This window comes from Homo sapiens, chromosome 18, assembly GCF_000001405.40.
Source record: "Homo sapiens chromosome 18, GRCh38.p14 Primary Assembly".
Lineage (NCBI taxonomy): Eukaryota > Metazoa > Chordata > Mammalia > Primates > Hominidae > Homo > Homo sapiens.
Genome location: NC_000018.10, coordinates 9,889,862 through 9,911,065, shown reverse-complemented (window position 1 = coordinate 9,911,065; position 21,204 = coordinate 9,889,862). Strand labels below are relative to the sequence as shown.

The 21,204-nt window shown below is 41.9% G+C and overlaps 1 long non-coding RNA gene across 1 annotated transcript, besides 1 other annotated feature; it reads left to right on the top strand.

The window, feature by feature from the left end:
- The first annotated feature begins 14,332 nt into the window (after positions 1-14,332).
- Positions 14,333-15,832, top strand: LOC105371982 (uncharacterized). The gene is made up of 4 exons (XR_007066282.1): positions 14,333-14,407; positions 15,165-15,264; positions 15,369-15,484; positions 15,574-15,832. It is a non-coding gene; the product is annotated as an uncharacterized LOC105371982 (long non-coding RNA).
- Positions 15,200-15,494: an enhancer, noted in NCBI's record as "tiled region #4522; HepG2 Activating non-DNase unmatched - State 7:EnhWF, and K562 Activating DNase matched - State 5:Enh". NCBI's record gives its function as "activates a minimal TATA promoter and a strong SV40 promoter by Sharpr-MPRA in HepG2 and K562 cells {active_cell/tissue: HepG2 | K562}" and the evidence as "EXISTENCE:reporter gene assay evidence [ECO:0000049][PMID:27701403]".
- Positions 15,833-21,204: the final 5,372 nt, after the last annotated feature.

The window sequence follows — 21,204 nt, the reverse complement described above, 5'->3', positions numbered from 1 at the left end:
AGTGGTTTGTGCTTTGGTATTTATTAGTACTTTTCTTCCAGCACTACAAACTTTACAAACATCATCACACCCTACTCAGAACAACTTCATGACAGTTGGCAAGTGCCGCTTTTGTTGTTAAATGTGGAAATGAAAACACAGATGACAGCATCTCATCTTAGTAATAGAGCTCAGCTATGGGCAGGGGACATTGCCCAATGTTCTATTCTGTGCATTTTTGCTCTTCCCAAAGCCGCAATAAAATGACAACCCACAATTTAAAATGTCATTGACTTCTCTATTGTTTAACATTTAAGCTAGGAATAATGAACCATGTGACCTATGTTCATTTTGTTTGCTCTTTTTAGATTGGCTAATGCAGCACAGAAAGGCCTTAAAGTATTAGCAAATATATACACTCCAGCATATCAAGCAACCAAATTTTCATGAGTCTAAGAAGTACAAAGGCTTTGAATATTATTTCAACCTATTTGAATCACTAATAGTATTCACCTTTGGACAAGTTCTCTCTTATGGACTTGGCAAAGATTTTTTTTTGTTTTCAGTACGGATAGTATCAAAGTACTTATACCCCTCTACTTCTCCATAGTTAAACATGTTAAACTTTACAGTAGAGGTGCTCTATAATTATGAATTTGTTTATGAGCAATTCTCTGAGTTATTGACTTCAGTGAACATTTAAACAGGCATGCTTTCCATAAATATTGAGGCAGTAAAGTAAAATACAGGCTTTGAATCTAGACTGCTAGGTTCAAGTTCCATTTTCCACTGTGTGATCTTTGCAGCTCACTCCACCTCTCTGTGCCTGTTTTACATCTGTAAAATGAGAAGAAGAAGAATACCTACATTCTGGGTTTGTTACCAGGATTCAATGAGTTCCTACACATGAAGAGCTTATAATAGTGCCTGATTCCAGCACTGTTACCTTATTAATATTAAATGTTAAATTACTGCTGTGTGCCCAGCACTGTGGCAGGTACTGGTGATTAGTCATGAGCTGATAGACATGGTCCCTACCCTTATAGGCTTACATTCAAGAGTGAGAGACAAAAGTGAAATAACTATACAATTATTTCATTTGAATTGTGGTAAACACTAGGAACGAGAGGTCTAGGGTACTGGGAGAGTAACCTGTGGGAACTGAGTTGAGGGTTTGGAGATTATCTCCTTCAGGGAGTAATAAGAAGTATCTCCTGAAGGATATCTGGATACCCAGGAAAGGAGAACAGAATATGCAAAGGCCAGACTGACATGAGCGTGGCTCATTGCAAATTGTAGAAGAAAGGCTGATGTGTTATGGTAAATAAAGTGGGTAGTGAGTAGCAGGAGATGAGGCTGAAAAGCCAGATTATGCAGATTGTTTCAGGCCATATTAAGGATTTGAGTCTTTATCATAAGAAAATAGGAAACCATCAAAGGGTTTAAACAATAGAGTCATATGAGCAATTCTTAAAAGTTCTCTTGACTACAATGTGGTGATTGGATTAGGGGGAGTAAGAGGGAATATGGGGAGAACTGTTTAGATTAGTGCTATAATTCAGAAGACAGAGGATGATATTACAGAGGATGGTATTGCAGAGAATGACAGTTTGGGCTAAGGTAGACACAGTGGAGATGGAGCAAATAAATACGAACAGATTTGAGAGATATTTAGGTGGTAGAATCAATAACCAATCAGCTATTGATTAGATACAGGGGTGGTAAGAGAAAGTAAGAGAGTGAGGAATCACTCCCCTTCTTCCGGTGTGTGCAGGTGAATGAATGATGGTACTAGTCACAGAGACAGAGGACCAGATTCTGATGTTGGGGTGCAGGGAAGGAAAGATCACTAAGCCAGTTTGATGTAAGATGCCTTTGAGACATTCATGAGGAAATGTTAAATAAGCAATAGAGTGTTCTGGTGGGAACTCAGGAGCAGCAGCTCTGTGCTGAAAACTGAACCTCCAAGTCTTGAGCATGAATGGTCACGGGCATGTAGGAGGTCACCTAATACAGACAGAGAAATGACCAGAACCTCATACTCCTTCTTGGGAAACTGCAACTTTCAAATATCTCATTAAGTAGAATGAGTTAGCTTGGGTGGAAGAAAAGTGGCCAGAGAGGTAAGTAGGAAAGGAGGCCATGGTTATTACTATGGATGGCTCAGTTGTCCCCATTCGGACTTCCTCCAGGGTTGCCTTACTGTATTGCGGAAGCCACTCCTTTGCATCTAGGCTCTTTTTTGGAATGAGAAAACCCTGGAGACTTAATGTATCCACCTTAGTGGCTCACAACATTGTACTTGACCTTATAGCTGTGATAAAAATTCTTGAACCCTTGGAAAACTCACACATTGCCTACTTTTCTCAGATTCTGTTGATCTCTCCTCAGCTCCCTCTAAATGACTTGTTTGCCAGTGCCAGAGCATGCTGGCAAAAAGAAAAAGCCCAACAAGCATCAGGACTCCAGAGGACTGAACCACCAGGCTTGCCCCTTGCCCAGTTCCCCGCAGGGGAAGGCGATCATACACAAATGGGACAAACAAACTGAGCCCATGGCCACGGCAACTCTCATTGTTCCTATTTGTAATCTGGTCAAAGATCAATAGAATTGTGGATTTTGAAGAATTGTAAAGCTAAATAATGGAAATGAAATCACAATTCAGATACAAGTCATAGATTTAATTAAATGTGTATGGATCGTTCTTGAAGTTTCTAGACTTACATGTAAAGGGCAATTATCAGGTGTGGCTTATCATACATCAATCTTATCAGCATGGTTCAATTTAAGAAAAAATGCATTAAGCTGAAATTAGATTGTGCCCACCAAGAAGACTTAGTAACTGTGTACTTTTGGAAATGAGTATATAAATCCCAGAGCTGTTCAGCAGTGTAGTAAACAATGTCTGGTCCCTGATTCTACATTTTCTTTTGTGACATCATTAAGACAGAAGCCAAGTGTCACCATAAATTATGTAAACCTTCAGTCAGAATAATTCAATCTGTACAGGGTACATTCTCATTGTCTTTATGACAAATGGTGAGTGATTAGCATGCGACCTATGACTTAATGTAAACCCCATGAGAGCAGGGGCCTCATGCCTCATGCTGTTCGCTGGCATATCTCTAGCATCTGCAACAGGGCCTGAGACACGGAAGCCGCTCAACATATATTTATGGTTTTCTAATTTTTGTTTTGAATTACAGTTAATTATTGAAAAATGTGGGTTTGAACTGTGTGGGTCCACTTACAGGGGAATTTTCTCCCATCTCTGCCACCCCTGAGACAGCAAGACCAACTCCTCCCTTATCTTCCTCCTCAGCCCACTCAACGTAAAGACCATGAGGATGAAGACCTTTACGATGATCCACTTCCACTAAATGAATTGGAAATACAGTTTCTCTTCCTTATGATATTCTTAATAACATTTGAGTCTCATCACCTTCCATAAATTTACTGATCTGCTGAATCATAATATGCATATGAAGGAGTCTCATTCTTGCATACCCCTGTGAAAAACAGATAGGAAACTAGAGTACAATATTTGTGTCTAGTTCATTTTGCCTTTTCCTTTACAATATACAATCAAAATACTGTTTTCCAAAGTAACTTTGGCTAGTGCCGCCCCTTCAGTGTGGTTATGTTATTCATTCGTAATACAATTATAGTAAATTCATGTATTACTTTTCGCATTCCATTTTGTCCCATCCCCATTGTTTTAACCACTTATTTTGGGAGTTTGTGAGGCATTAACATGGCTCTAAGAGTAAAAATTAGCATGGTTCTAAGTATGAACATGGCTAGCAAAGTATCTCTCCCTGATTCCTGTGACTCCATTCTCAGCAATACCATTATTTCCCCTCTGTTATCACCCAACACCTGTAGGTAACCAATTTCAGCTCCTAATTTACTGTTTGGCACAAACGAGCAGATGTACGTATATTTTCTTACATAATGCACTTTTGTTTTTGAGACAAGGTCTCACTCTGTTGCCCGGCTGGAGTGCAGACACATGAACACAGCTCACTGCAGCCTCAACCTCCTGAGCTCAAGCGTTCCTCCTGTCTCGGCCCCCCAAGTAGCTGGAACTGCAGGGATGTGCCACCACGCCAGGCTAACTTTTTAATTTTTTTGCAGAGACGGGTCTCCCCATGTTGCCTAAGCTGTATAATGCTCATTTTTAGTTGAAGGGTAGAATATTATGCCATTTTTGTGCTTTGCTTTCTTCACTTAATACACCCTAGACATGGGATATTTGCTAGTTATACTAGTTTCACTCTGTAACAGGTCATAGAGCACTTCCTTGTTCTTACAGCTGCATAGTACTCCACTCAGTGGATGTTATTCAACCACTTTCCCATGCATAGGCGTTTAGGCTGTCTCGAATATCTTGCAATTAACAATCAATGAGCAAGTTGCCCAAACTCTATATCACCCACAGTGGTTACCCCAGCTTCCTACCTCAGGCTCACACCCGTGGCCATATGGAGGGTTCTGTACAACTGGGTGGAAAAAGAGGAAGGAGCCCAAGCTTGGTTTATAGATTGGTCAGTTCAGTAGATGAATGCAAGGTGAAAATATTCCTGTCTCATGCCCACTCCACTGCAAGTCTTTGTGGTGAGCAATAAATAGCCTTGTGCATACGTATTTTCATATGTTGGAGGTATTTCTAAAGAGTAGTTTCCTAGAAATGGGACTTGTAGTTCAAAAGGTAAGAGTGTATGTAGTTTTTGATACTGACAAATTCCCTTCGTTTTTTTGCTTTGCTTTTTCTTCCCCAGAAGCTATGTGTTTCCTAGACTAGCCCTTTAAAACAGTGTATTTTTAATTCTCTTGTCTGTAGTCTGTGCTCTGAACTCCTCAGACACTATTTTACCAGTTTCAGACTTACGATGGACCTGTTCTTTTTGGCGGTGGGTTTAAATCAACCTTAGACCCCATTGCTAGCTCCCTCCAACTCCTTCTCCTGTAGTTTTTCTCATCTGTCTTTGCTCACCACATTCCATGCTAGGAATACAGCTTCGGTCCAGGTGTCCCACTGGGCACTGTGTTTCCTTCTTTGTGGCAGGAGATGCAAGAGCAAGAATGTATCTTTTAATTTGGAGGAAGTATCCGGCATACTTCTGATTATTGGACCCCTGAAAACTTTCCTGAAGTGGCAGGTCTCTGTCCTAACAAGACCTCCCGAATGCTGGCTACCTCTTGTTTGTGCTGCCCAATCAGCATGATGTCACCCATGTAATGGATCACTGCAATGTTCCACAGGATGTCCAGACTGTCTGGGTTTCTTCATACTATATGATGACAGAGGGTAGAAAAGTTCACAACGCCCTGAAGCAAGACAGTAAATTAATGCTGTTGTCCGTTCCACATGAATACAAACTGCTGCTCTTCAGAATAGAAAAGAGCACATTTGCCAAATCAGTGGCCACATAACATGTACCTGAGGTTTTAATAATCTGCTTTAGCAACAATACTGCTCTGTTTGGCAGCTGTAGCAGGGCCGCAGCTTGGTTAGGCTTGTGGTATTCTACGATCAGATCATTGCAATCATCAGACTGGCTGAGCAAATAGAGACATGATAGGAGGGACCACCACCTTGTATCCTTTCAAGCTCTAATAGGCATTAAACCCTGTGATGCAATAGTGCTTTGATTTACTATTTTGGTCCTGGGGTGGGGGCAGCTTTGACTCCCACTTAGCCTTCCCTAATGTGATAGCTCCTACTCCACACACCACGAACTCAAAGGTGTTATTTCAGCAGCCAGGGCCCAAGAAAATGACCACTAAGTAGATGCGTGGCAACCGAGGGGCTGATTGTACACATATAAAACATATTACTTTAGCCAGGGCTCTAAGGTGGGACGGGGAAGGGACACACGCAAGATGACATTTCAGATCTCGAGGTATTCATGTCAACTAAGTCCTCGTGTCCAACAATCTTTGCAAGGTCTGGGTGTTCCCTCCTCCCCAACATATAGTGACCCAAGTAAATGGCCATAGGTCCCTTTGGGACAGTCCTGGGGGAATCATCATGGTTTTTCTTAGCCGTGGTGTTGCTGCCTACTTCTTCCTGGGGACTTGGCCATCTCTTCAGTCCATGAGCTCCAAATGTGAAAAAATTGGCTTAGGTCTGGGAACTCAGCAAGGGAACTCGTAGAAACAGAGGCTGCAGGGAAGGAGAGGGGTAGGGAAAGGGAAGATGTTGACCAAAGTGTACAAAGTTTCGGTTGGACTAGAAAAATACGTTTCAGTGATCTATTGTACTGCATGGTAACCACGGTTAATAACAATGTATTGCATATTTCAAAATTGCTAAAAGAATAGATTTTTAATGTTCTTATGACAAAAAAATGGTAAGTTGTTGAGGTGATGCATGGGTTGATTAGCTTGATTGAATCTTTTTAAAAATGTATACATATATCAAAAAATCACATTGTACCCAATAAATATACACAATTATCATTTGTCAACTAAAAATAATTAAAAGGCCGGGTGTGGCTCAAGCCTGTAATCCCAGCACTTTGGGCGGCCAAGGAAGGCAGATCACTTGAGGTCAGGAGTTTAAGACCAGCTTGGCCAACATGGGGGAACCTCGTCTCTACTAAAAATACAAAAATTAGCTAGGCATGGTGTCACACGCTTGTAATCCCAGCTACTGGAGAAGCTGAGTCAGGAGAATCGCTTGAACCTGGGAGGCAGAAGTTGCAGTGAGCAGAGATCATGCCACTGCACTCCAGCCTGGGCAACAAGAGTGAGAATCTGTCTCTCAAAAAATAATAATAATTAAAAAAGAAAAAAAAAGTTTGATCATTTTTTTTCCACCACAGTTAAAATGACTTGTAGCCACAAAACAAGCAATAACAAATGCTGGTGAAGATGTGGAAAAAATGGAATCATTGTACACTGCTGGTGGGAATGTAAATTTTTTTTCCCTTTTTTTTTTTTTTTTTTTTGTTTTACTTTAAGTTCCGGGGTACATGCACAGAACATGTTGGTTTGTTACATAAGTATACATGTGCCATATGTTTTAAGCCCTGCATGCATTAGCTATTTGTCCTGATGTTCTCCCTTCCCTCGCCTCCACCCCCAACAGGCCCCATGTGTGTTGTTCCCCTCACTGTGTCCATGTGTTCTCATTGTTCAACTCCCACTTACGAGTGAGAACATGCAGTGTTTGGTTTTCTGTTCCTGTGTTAGTTTGCTGAGGATGATGGCTTCCAGCTTCATCCATGTCCCTGAAAAGGACACAATTCCATTCCTTTTTATGGCTGCATAGTATTCCATGGTGTATATGTGCCACATTTTCCTTATCCAGCCTATCATTGATGGGCATTTGGGTTGGTTCTATGTCTTTGCTATTGTAAATAGTGCTGCAATAGACATACATGTGCATGAGTCTTTATAGTAGAATGATTTATAATCCTTTGGGTATATACCACCCAGTAATGGGATTGCTGGGTCAAATGGTATTCCTAGTTCTAGATCCCTGAGGAATCGCCACACTGTCTTCCACAATGGTTGAACTAATTTACATTCCCATTAACAGTGTAAAAACGTTCCTATTTCTCCACAGCCTCACCAGCATCTATTGTTTCTTGACTTTTTAATAATCACCATCCTGACTGGCGTGAAATGGCATCTCACAATTATCATTTGTCAATTAAAAATAATTTTAAAAAAAAGAAGGCTTGATTAAAAAAAAAAGAAAAGAAGAAGAAGAAGAAGAAAACATACTAGAAATGCTTATTCCATACACAGGAACACATTTCCTTTAAGTATATCCTAACGCTGATTCCTCATTGCTATCTTGCATTTAAACACCTTTTGCAAAAATGTTTTATTCACTGGTGCATTCATTTCTTAATGGCTGCCGTAACAAATTATCACAAACTGGGTGGCTTAAAACAACAGGTATTTTCTCACAGCTCTGGAGGCCAGAAGTCCAAAATCAAGGTGTTGACGGAGCTGTGATCCCTTGGGAAGCTCCAGGGGAGAATCTGTTCTTCGCCTCTGGCGGCTGCTGGCAGGGAGCCTTGATTTGTGGCCGCATGGCTCCAGCTGCTGCTTCCGTCTTCACGCTGCCTTCTTCTTCGCGTGTGTTGAATCTCCTACGTCTCTTGTCTATGGACACTTGTGATGGCATTTGGGGATCACCCAGATAATCCAGGATTATCTCCTCATCTCAAGAGCCTTAACTTAATCACATCTGCAAAGGCCCTTTTCCAAATGAAGTAACATTTACAGGTTTATAGTACTAGACCCTGATGTCTTTGGGGCTACCATTCAACCCTCTACAGTTGGTATTAATAATCTTCACATCAGTTTAATGACTTGGTTAAAATTATCTCTGACAAAGAACCTAAGGCACATAAATGTTATTTGTTTATTTATTTATTTATTTATTTATGAGACATGGTCTCACTCTGTTGCCCAGACTGGAGTGCAATGGCTCGATCTCAGCTCACCACAACCTCCCGGGCTGAAACGATTCTCCTGCCTCAGCTTCCTGAGTAGCTGGGATTACAGGCTCGCGCCACAGGCCCAGCTATTTTTGTGTGTGTGTGAGACAGAGTTTTGCTCTTGTTGCCCAGGCTGGAGTGCGATGGCGCAATCTGGGCTCACTGCAACCTCCGCCTCCCTGGTCCAAGCGATTCACCTGCCTTAGTCTCTAGAGTAGCTGGGATTACAGGAGCCTGCCACCACGCCCAGCTTTTGGTATTTTTAGTAGAGATGGGGTTTCACCATGTTGGCCAGGCCGGTCTCGAACTCCTGACCTCAGGTGATTCATCCGCCTCGGCCTCCCAAAGTGCTGGGATTACAGGCATGAGCCACCAAGCCCTGCCTAGGTACTTTTTAAATAACATTTCTGCCATCCGGCCTAGGTACTTTTAAAATAACATTTCTAGCCAGGTTCAGTGGCTCATGCCTGTAATCCCGGCACTTTGGGAAGCCAAGGCGGGCGGATCACCTGAGGTCAGGGGTTCGAGACCAGCCTGGCTAACATGGCAAAAACCCATCTCTACTAAAAATACCAAAAAATTACCTGGGCATGGTGGTGGGTACCTGTAATCCCAGCTACTCGGGAGGCTGAGGCAGGAGAATTGCTTGAACCCGGGAGGGGGAGGTTGCAATGAACCAAGATTGTGCTGCACTCCAGCCTGAGTGACAAGAGCAAAACTCCATCTCACAAAAAAATAAAAAATGAAAAATAAAATTCAAAAAATAGTACCTATGTGATAGAACTACCACTAGTTGAAAACATAAAAAACATTCAGTCAACAGGTTGTTTTATATAAAGTGAAAATTATTTCCTGTTTCTAATTCTCTTATAAAAATGAGACATCGTGAAAAATAATATTCTGCCTAAATTGTGCATAAATTTCCCAATGATTACTGTGCAACTCTAGGTATCTTTTTTTTTTTTTTTTAGAGAGAGACTGGCTCAGCTCTGTCACCCAGGATGGAGTGCAGCGGTGCAATCATAGCTCACTGCAGGCTTGAACTCCTTGGCCTCAAGCCATCCTCCCACTTTGGCCTCCCAGAGAGCTGAAATTACAGACATGAGCCACTGTGCCCAGCCTGCCTCAGTATTTTTAAAACAAATTCTGGATAACATGGTATTTCATCCCTAGATACTTGAGTTCGCATTTCTCCCTTTTTGTAAACAAAGTAATAGGGTAGAAAAGTATCAAAATTTAAGTGCAAAGGATGCCAAAGGCAGGCTCAGATCCAAATGGTCAATATTTTCCCACTCATTAGTAAACTTTGTTTTTGTCTTTTATCAAGCAACAGCAAGACCCATTATGGGATTAAAAAGCCTGTATTTCAGAGGGACTTTTTGCCACCCATCATATTACCTAATTTACAATGATATTGGTAAGCATGATCTAGTGACAGCTATCCAGTTTCTGAAAATTTCATAAGCAATACTACTTTAGATGTGTGGTGAAGTTCAATGATCTACTTAGAAAAGAAATAGCAAGTGTGTTGCTAGGTGACATGCACATGCTCAGATACGGGGAGGAGCAGAACTGGTCCAACGAGGCCCTTGAAGCCAGGATGACCCACCTCTGCACCGCTCCTCAGCACATTCATCTGTGGTGGTCCCAGGTCACACCTCCTCTACTTCCCATATCTTCCCTATGTCATCTCACACCCGCCCATCTCATCTCCACACCCAGCAACCACATTCTGACTCAAACCCACTGATACCCCTATTGTTCTGGCAACTTCTGAAGTCCCCTAATGGTTTCTTGCGCCTCGACCTCACTACTTCATTTTCCGTTTCTTTTGCTTCCTTTGCTGCCTGGGATGAGAGGGACCCCTACTCTCAGCCCCCTGACCTTAAGGAACTCCCCATTCCTTTGCTATTCAGCTCAACCACTGTTCTTTCTGGAGAGGGGAGATTTGGATGTGTTTCCCTTGAATTGTTAAAAAGGAATGTAATCTTCATTCAGGGAGATAAAACTAGGGTTATCAAGACCTCATATTTAAGCAAGTCAATAAAGCACAGAAGAATCCTAAGAATTAGATGATACTTTCTTAGTTTTAATTCAAAATAGAGGAGTTTTCAGTTTTGTATTCACCTGCAAACAGTTTTCCTAGAGCACACCTGGGAACTCTGAATATTCATTGCATTTGAAACCGTTTGTCTATGGGCTGCAAATAGGGCTCATTGCTGTAGCAGTCGATTCCCTGACACACATTGATCTTTCTGTCTTCAATCTGAGTATCAAGAATAAACACGAGTAGCATCTGAACCACACATAATAAATCTTGGTCTTTTATTTTTTAAGCACGTAAGGAAAGAATAAGTGCCATAGGTAGGCCTGAAGAGGATGAATGTTGACCACCGGTATCCAATTTATGTAACTACCAATGTTATTTTAGCATGTTTATGTCTGACATATACAAAAATAGCAACCCAAAATGAAATAGGATTATAATCTGGATTTATAAATACTTTTTTAAAAACCTTCAAATGCCAAAACAAATGGAGATTATTTGAAAGTAAGTATGAGTAATTTTAACCTCACAGTAAAGAAATCAAAGTAATTAGGGGAATGAACATAGGGTGGGAATCATCAATATCCATTACTGGGCTGGGCAAAGTGACTCACACCTGTAATCCCAGCACTTTGGGAGGCTAAGGTGGAGGATCACTTGAACCCAGGAGTTTGAGACTAGCCTCAAAAACATAGTGAGACCTCTTCTTTAAAAAAAAAAAAAAAATAGCTGGGCATACTGGCACACACCTGTAGTCCCAGCTACTTGAGAGGCTGAGGCAAGAGGATCACTTGAGTCTGGGAGGTTGAGGCTGCAATGAGCCATGATCATGCCACTGCACTTCAGCCTGGGCAACAGAGTGAGACCCTGTCTCAAAAAAAAATTCAGACTGGTGTGGTGGCTGATGTTTATAATCCCAGCACTTTGGGAGGCCAGTGCAGGGGGATCATTTTATCTCAAGGGTTCGAGACCAGCCTGAGCAACATAGTGAGACCTCATCTCCACTAAAAATTTTTTAAAATTAGCCATATATGGTGGTGTGCACCTACAGTCCCAGCTACTCTAGAGGCCGAGGTGGGAGGTTCGCTGGAGCCCAGGTGATTGAGGCTGCAGTGAGCTATGATCATGCCACTGCACTCCAGCCTGGGTGACAGAGCAAGACTCTGTCAAAAAAAAAAAAATCCATTAAGGTTGAGTGCTCTCAAATTCCAGTTACGCAGCTGCTTCTGATAGCATGACAATATATTACCGTCTAGCCATGTTAACTGGTATGACTTAAAGGAAGTCTTCCTTAAAGCCTTCTCTGGGAGGTGGCTAGCCTCCTCTGCCCTTTCTAAACTGAGAATCATTAGCTAACTGGTGACTTCCTCGTGTATCTTCCTAAGGTCAGTGAAAGATATTGATCTATGAGTCATTAGAGTTGCATTTAGCTTTGTCTTTTAAACACCAACGTTTTGTGGCTTTCATAGAGCAGGGAGAGAGAAGCAGCATTTTTTTTTTTTTCACCTTTTCTCAAGACCTACCAGAAAGGTGCCTCTCCAGAGATCAGAGAACTTTTAGTTTTCTAAACCAGGAATTCGCGAAAACAGCATTAAGGTCAGCAGAAACGTAATGTACAGGGACAACCTTACTCTTCCCTGTCCTTCCCCATGCCATATCTCCCTCTTACTTGAAACTACCATCTTAACCTAAACAAAGATGACCCTCAACTTGTGTGTGTAAAAGTAATATACACTTCAAATCAATACGTAGTAGAACGATCACATTTTCTTTTCATTTTCACAATCCACATTTCTTCATTTCAACTACTGCCTGTCGTTACTGGCCCTAACTTCTTCCTATCTACCATTTTCTATCATCAACTTCTTCATTTTCATATAAATTATCTTTTTTCCATCCTGGAATCTGAAATTTTTTATTTCCTTAAATCTTTAAGCTACAGCCTTGGGTTTTATCTGACTCTGTGGTGTCTACATCCAAATATTTGTCATTGTTGCACTGGGTGTCTATTTTCATTGTGGGTATTAAAGGATCTCATGGTTCAAGTACCATTATTATTTCAAAACTTGCAGCCTAACTTTTCCTTTTATCTCTTGGTTTGCTTTGTTTTTTAGTTAACTTTTATCTCCATAGAGTGTAGCATTTCACAGTTCCCTTACAAGTTCTGGGAAACTTAAAAATCTGCCAAAAATCAAGATAGAATTCTAAGTAACAACATACCATAACTTTCTAGTATTTGCTGAATATAATTTATTTGAAATACCATTTGAGTCTCAAAAAGACACAAGTGTTGAACACTGAAGGCATAGTCTATGAAGAACCAGATTGTTCATATTTAGAGAAAAACATGTTTCAAAAGCATCGCTTAGAAGAACAGACCCCAGAACTGACTCACCCTGTTTACATCCTTTGCATCTTTCTTTCTTTTCTTCTTTTTTTCTGAGACCAAGTCTCATTGTGTTGCCCAGGCTGGAGTGCAATGGCACAATCTCAGCTCACTGCAACCTCGGCCTCCCAGGTTCAAGCAATTCTCGTGCCTCTACCTCCTGAGTAGCTGGGATTACAGGTGCTGCCCCCACGCCCGGCTAATTTTTGTATTTTTAGTAGAGACAGAGTTTCACCATGTTGGCCAGGCTAGTCTCTTGGCCAAGCTAGTCTCGAACTCCTGACCTCGTGATCTGCCTGCCGCGGCCTCCCAAAGTGCTGGGATTACAGGAGTGAGCCACCGCACCCAGCCATCCTTTGGATCTTTCTAAGCATTCACTCATCAGGTTTCATATTCTCTTTTGATTTATATCCCATATGCCAACGTTAGCAAAAGTTACTATTATAAGATAATTTGTCATTTGAATAAGGCACAGATAGCTATTTAGTTTTAAGGCTGGACAGACAGATTCAAGGAAATCGGATTGAATGTGAAATCAGGATGAAAGTGAAATGAGAAGGTGCGTTTAAAAGGAACTTGATAAAAGTACAACCTCTTCTTATTGGGTTTGATATTTCATGGGGATTTATAAGTGGGATAAGGGTGATTCTGACCATATTCTCCATATTCTTAATGTGGACTCTTAGTCAAATGTTGAGTGCTCAAATGCCATCCCTTGAAATCTATGTGCCTGATTGCAGGCAGCCTTTCCTTCCTCCCACTTTCCACGTTAATCCACTCAGCTCCTAAGGCTTGATGGGCCTGACCCTGCTTTGAGTGTGCACAAGTGACCAAGCCTGACCAATCAGAGTCCTTCAACTCTTCCAAATACGCAGAGTGGTTCAGGGATTGGCACATGATGCAGCCAATCAGAGTCTTTCCTGGAACTTTTGTTGGCGTTATTAGGAAACAGGCTCACCTTTTTATCTGCGATTATGAGCCACGGAAGCAACTGATGATAAAATCAAGATGAACAGCAGAGCTAAGGGTAGAAAACCATGTTCTGATGTTGTCTGAATCCCTGAATCTGCCTAAAGTCATTGATCTCCTTAGAATTTCCATTTTCAAGATCCAATACCCTCTCCCTTTTTGCTGGAGCAGGTTTGAGTTGGCCTTTTGTCAGTTGCACGGAGAAAATGAATGTATCACCTATCCCATAACACCCATGATCACTTAGGTAGTTCATCTCCAAACAGAATAACTTCCGATTTGGTCTGTTCTTGGGCCATTTGTAATCTGAAGCCTGAAAGGCCCAAAATGCACAACTAGAATACAGAACATCTGCATAATGCCAGCATTCGGAGGCTCTGCCAGAACACCCTTGAGCTTGGGCCATTCACCTATTCCCCATTGCTCAGGCTTCCCAGATTTTGTATTTTCTAGTAGTTGTTTGGGTTCCCTGGCAGTATCTAAACAGTTGGAGTCTTCAAAGTATTCAGTTGATTGTTTTTTGTTTTTGTTATATAATTAGGAAAAAACAAAATGAGAATGATGGTAAAAAAAATATCCTCACACAGGCTGGTCGCGGTGACTCACGCCTGTAATCCCAGCACTTTGGGAGGCCGAGGCGGGCGGATCAGGAGGTCAGGAGATCAAGACCATCCTGGCTAACACGGTGAAACCCCGTCTCTACTAAAAGTACAAAAAGTTAGCCGGGCGTGGTGGCACGTGCCTGTAGTCCCAGCTACTCGCGAGGCTGAGGCAGGAGAATGGCGTGAACCCGGAAGGCGGAGCTTGCAGTGAGCCGAGATTGCACCACTGCACTCCAGCCTGGGCAACGAGTGAGACTCCATCTCAAAAAAAAAAAAAAAAAAAAAAAATCCTCACACAGTGATAGCCAATGGCAACACATTGTGCCTTTTGTCCAATTAAAATAAAATAGAGATAATTCTGTTTTCAGTATTTTGACCTGCTTTTTATTTTCTTGTTTTCATTTCTCAGTGAATTTTTTTTTTTTTTAAACACGGAGTCTCTCTCTGTTGCCCAGGCTAGAGTGCAGTGACGCTATCTCAGCTCACTGCAACCTCTGCCTCCCATGTTCAAATGATTTTCCTGCCTTAGCCTCCCGAGTAGCTGGGATTACAGGCATGTGCCACCAGGCCCAGCTAATTTTTGTATTTTTAGTAAAGACAGGGTTTCACCATGTTGGCCAGGCTGGTCTGGAACTCCTGACCTCAGGTGATCCACACACCTTAGCCTCCCAAAGTGCTAGGATTACAGGAGTGACCCACTGCATCCGGCCTTTTCACAGTGAATTTGGAGGAGCTAGCCACTGACAGGAAGGAGGAAGGCGCTCCATACAGCAAATGAAATTCAGAACTCTGGCCAGCCCATCGAGAAGAGGGTAACAGGTAACCCCCATATCTCCCATTTGGGAGGCACCACTCACTAGAATTCAGCAGGCTGGAGGCCTGGAAATGACTCAGCAATGAGTCCATTTTCTTATCCCTGGTAGGCCTGCTGGGACAAGTTGAGAGAAGACGAATGAAGTGAGGACGCTGCACACCATAATCTGAAATAGTCCTAGCGGTGGAAAAGAAGCAGCCTGCAGACGAGGCGGGCAGTGGGAAGGTGCGCCTGCAGGAGGGAGCACCTTATGGGGCTGGGCAACTCACTGAGAAATGATTCTGTCATAGACATGTGTGTATTTCTTCTGATAGTTATGCTCTGGATCATCAGAAAAATACAAAGGCATAGCCACAATTCATACTAGTGGAGAGACCTCAACAGAGATGGACCCACCCAAGCCTAGCTTGGAACTTGGACTCGGATGGAACTTGGACTGCACAGACTGTGTGGCCCCACCCACTGGGGTTGAGGCTTCAATATATGAATTTCAGGGGGACACATTTCAACCCATAACTGCTTAAGATGAGGCTCACAGGCTGGACTGAGGACTCCTCTCAGGGTGCAGCACATAGGAAACCATTTTATTATTATTATTATTATTATTATTATTATTACTACTATTATTATTATTAGAGTCAGAGTCTTGCCTGTCACCCAGGCTGGAGGGCAGTGGCAAGACCATGGCTCACCATTACCTCAAACTCTTGGGCTCAAGTGATCTTCCTACTTCAGTGTCCCAAGTAGCTGGGATTACAGGCGTGAGCCACCGTGACTGGCTGTTTTATTTTCTTTTAGAGAAGAGAATCTCACTATGTTGTCCAGGCCTCAAGTGATCCTCCCACCTCTGCCTCCCAAATTCCTGAGATTACAGGCATCTCAACATTACGCCTGGCTCATGACTTTTCTAATTGAGTAAGCATCAATAAAGTGAACTTGTGGAAAGACGCAAGCCTGTGTAGACCTGGCTATGTCTGATCTTGTGCTGCTGATGACACCTCACAGGAAGTGAAAATGGCCAACACCTTGATCTCAGACTTCTAGGCCCTGGAACTGTGAGAAGTAAATGTCTGCTGTTTAAGCCATCCTTTCTGTGGTATTTTGCTATGGCAGCCTGAGCAGACAAATACACAAGCTAGTTTGCAAAGTTCTGCATCTTTCTACCCCGTAACATACCGCTATGTTCCAGAAGGACTTATAGCAGTCTTAACTCTCAGTGGCAGTACATGAGTAACTGTTTCCCTACATCCCTACTATCAAAATCTCATTGACTTTTGTTTACATTTTCCTATTTATTCCCTATTAGTGAACATTTTTTATTTTTATATTTGAGACAGGAGCTCACTCTGTCACCCAGGCTGGAGTGCAGTGGCATGATCTCAGCTCACTGAAACCTCCGCCTCCTGGGTTCAAGTGATTCTCATGCCTCAGCCTCTGGAGCAGCTGGGATTACAGCCATGCTCCACTACCTCCACTACGCCCAGCTAAGTTTTGTATTTTTAGTAGAGAAGGGGTTTCGCCATGTTGGCCTCGAACTCCTAACCTCAAGTGATCCACCCGCCTCGGCCTCCCAAAGTGCTGGGATTACAGGCCTGAGCTGTTGCCATACCCGGCTTTATTTTTATTTTTATTACAAACTTGTTTTTATTCTAATGTGAACTATGTCTTTTGCCTATTTTTATGAGAATATTCTGTTTTTCTTACTGATTTGTAAGAGTACTTTTATAGTACATGTATTAAATCCAATGTTGTACATTTGGCAAATATTATTTCCTTTTTCTGTTTCCTGTCAATTTTGTTTATATTTTTTATTTAAAAAATTGAATTGTTGGGGTCGGGCATGGTGGCTCACGCCTGTAATCCCAGCACTTTGGGAGGCTGAGGTGGGCGGATCACCTGAGGTCAGGAGTTCAAGACCAGCCTGACTGACATGGTGAAACCCCATGTCTACTAAAAAATACAAAAATTAGCTGGGCATGGTGGTGGGTGCCTGTAATCCCAGCTACTCGGGAGTAGGCAGGAGAAGCACTTGAACCCAGGAGGCAGAGGTTGCAGAGAGCCAAGATCGCGCCATTGCACTCCAGCCTGGGCAACAGAGCAAGACTCCATCTCAAAAAAAAAAATGTTGAATTGTTTTATATGTTCAAATCTACTTCTTTAATTGCAATTGTGTCTAGAAAATCCTTTCTCCATCCATGAATCACATACATGTTTGGCCAGGTGCGGTGGTTCATGCCTGTAATCCCGGTGCTTTGGGAGGCCAAGGTGGGAGAACTGCATGAGGCCAGGAGTTCAAGACCAGCCTGGGCAACAGTGAGACTCCGTCTGTACAAAAAATTTTTTTAAATTAAACATTAACTAGGCATGGTGTTGCAAGCCTGTAGTCCCAGCTACCTGGGAGGCTGAGTTGGGAGGATCACCTGAGCTCAGGAACTCAAGGCTGCAGGGAGCTGTGATCACGCCTCTGCACTCCAGTCTGGGTAACAGAGCGAGACCCCGTCTCGAAAACATTTTTAAAAACTTCAACTGGCTGGGCGTGGTGGCTCACGCCTATAGTCCCAGCACTTTGGGAGGCTGAGGCAGGCGGATCACGAGGTCAGGAGATCAAGGCCATCCTGGCTAACACAGTGAAACCCCGTCTCTATTAAAAATACAAAAAACTAGCCGGGTGTGGTGGTGGGTGCCTGTAGTCCCAGCTACTCTGGAGGCTGAGGCAGGAGAATGGCCTGAACCCAGGAGGCGGAGCTTGCAGTGAGCGGAGATTGCACCACTGCACTCCAGCCTGGGCGACAGAGCAAGACTCTGTCTCAAAAAAACAAAAACAAAAATAAAACAAAACAAAAAAACTTCAGCTAAATTTTCTTCTATTTTTTAATCATTCCATATTTTGTTTTTTATCATTTAATTCAGCTTATATTTATTTTAGTGTCTGGTGTGGGATTGGGATATACATTGATTTTTCCCCTCAAATATTAAAATTTTGCCAATTTTTTGAAAAAAATCCACTCACTGTCCATCAAATTGAAATGTTTCCTTGTCATATATTACTACTTACATGCCAATGTGTGGTTTTGCTTACTATTATGTTTCATTGCTCTCTTTTTCCTTCATTAATATCATTGTTTTATAATTAATGTACCAACTACACATGTAACTCTCTGATAGGGCACATATCTCGTCATTACTTCTCATTTGAGACTTTTCCTGCCTATTCTTGTCTATTATTCTCAGTGAAGTTTTAAATATTTTGTTAAGTTCTATCAAATATCCCATTGAGATATTGGCTGGAATTACAGGGTCTACTAATTAAGTGGAAAGCATCAACATCTTTCAGTCTTTTCTCCAATGAGAAAAATGGACTGTCTCACTTTATTCAAACCTACTTATATACATCTCAGAATGTTTTATTTTACTCTTAATCATCCTTACTTCTCATTAGGACTATTGCTAGACATTTTATTTTGTCGCTATTGTGAATAAGACTTTTTTTTCACAGATTCCCAATTATTTGCCACAGAATCACATGGAAGCTGTTGATTTTTAGATATTACTTCAATTACTGCCACTTTGTTGAGTTTTCTCGTTAATTCTAACAGATTTTCCATTGATTCTTAAGGCTCTGGTTAGATTATCATTGTTCACAGCTCATATGATTATCTGGGATCTTCTCATTAGAACTGCTTCTTATTTGTCCTTCATGTTAAATATTAGAGATGAAAACAATTTCTTGGTTGATTTTTTGTTTTGTTTTTGTTTTTTGTTTTTTGTTTTTTTGAGATGGAGTTTTGCTCTCGTTGCCCAGGCTGGAGTGCAAGTGGCTCGATCTTGGCTCACTGCAACCTCCGCCTCCTGGGTTCAAGCGATTCTCCTGCCTTAGCCTCTTGAATAGCTGGGATTACAGGCACCTGCCACCATGCCCGGCTAATTATTTTGTATTTTTAGTAGAGATGGGGTTTCACCACGTTGGCCAGGCTGCTCTCAAACTCCTGACCTCAGGTGATCCACCCGCCTTGGCTTCCCAAAGTGCTGGGATTACAGGTGTGAGTCACCACTCCCCGCTTGGTTGATTTTTTATTAAGTGCATGCATCTTTCTTACTCAGAAAAAGAAAATGTCCATACTCAAGCCTTCTGCCAGAGAACATAACTTTGACCTGGCTGCTGTTCAACTATTATCCAAACAGTCAAAAGAAGTGGTTCTCACAATGGGTAATTTGAAGGGCATAAATTGATTATCTGCTAGTTTAGATTTTATCCCTGGATCAAACTAGATCATCAGAGAGCCACACCTTTGCGTTGCTTTTTCTTGGCCCTACAGAATGCCTTCATAGAACTTCGCTTTGCCTCCTCCTTTGACTTATGTTAAGAATGCTATTAAATCATCTTAAGAATCTACTATCACAATAATTTTTAAGGATATTTTGAGGTCATTGTCAATGACATTACTTAGTAACCTAAATATAAAAAGGGACCTTTGACAGAAATGTCTTTAATATTATGGTACCAGAAAAAGCAGTTAGTATAAGTCACTGATGTTAGATTTCAGGGGCCCTGGTCCTTAAAATTGCACAGTCTAAAGTGTTGTGGGAGGCTGGGTACAGTGGCTCATGCCTGTAATCTCAGCACTTTGGGAGGTCTGGGTGGGAGGATCTCTTGAGATTAGGAGTCTGAGACCAGCCTGGGCAACATGGCAAGATGCCAACTCTACAAAAAAATATATATTTTTAAATTAACCAAGCGTGGTGGCTTTATCTGTAGTCTCAGCTACTTGGGAGGCTGAGGCAGGAGGATCACTTGAGCCTAAGACCATAGTGAACTATGGTCATGCCACTGCACTCCAGCATGGGCAACAGAGTGAGAATATGTCTCAAAATTAATTTAAAAGTGTTGTGAGGCTCACTAAGTTATCTAAACAGGACTCTGGTAGCACAATGTTTGGGTTAACTGGTTAAAGTCTAGGCCTATATGTCTAGGCTGGTAGAGTCATGTTGAAGCTAACCTTGTTCATTATGGAAAATAAGAACAAATTTGATTGAAAAAGTCAGAAGAAGGTCTCTCTATCAGAGGGAAATAACAGGTGGATATATGCACTGTCACTAAAAGCCCATTTCTATGAAAATGCAGTACACCTGAATCTAGAATCCTCTCGTTGAAAAGCCCTTTGCCATTATGGCTTCAGCTTTTACTGAAGAGTCTTACCAAGAATATCCACATGAAAAACTGTCCTGAATTTATTATAGAAAAATCTTGTCAAGAACTTCGTTTATCATCGAAGTCTCAAATGTAGTGTCCAAGATGAGAAATGTCATTCAGGAATTTAGTTAAGGAAAAGCTTTGACTCTTTTGCAAATTCCTAAGCCTGCTTATTTTGGGTGATGACATCTGGGTATTATTGAATTTATCTCTTCTCTCTCACTTGCCAAGAGTTCAGAACAAAATTTGCTGCTCTAACAGAGCCATGATACGAGCCCACAGAGTTGACACGTTACTCACTTCATGGCTCTGATTCCTCTTTCTGGTTCGTTAGCTTTATCATTAATCCTTTTGTAGGCAATTCCAAATTTTTTTGGAAAAAAGGCCAAGCATATAAGGTATTTCATTTTGTTTGCAGTTGTTAGGCCATTGTTAAGGGTGCAAATGAAGCCTATAACTGAGGTACCACTAAGGAGAGTCACGATAGGCACATGATGGAAGGAGATGGGGCAGTCTTGGTCCTCTTTTTTTTTTTTTTTTTTTTTGAGACACAGTCTCACTCTATCACCTAGGCTGGAGTGCAGGGGCACGATCTCAGCTCACTGCAACCTCTGCCTCCCCGGTTCAAGTGATTCTCCTGCCTCCTCAGCCTCCTGAGTAGCTAGGATTACAGGTACCTGCCACCACACCCGGCTAACTTTTGTATTTTTAGTAGAGACAGGGTTTCACCATGTTGGCCAGGTTGATCTCGAAC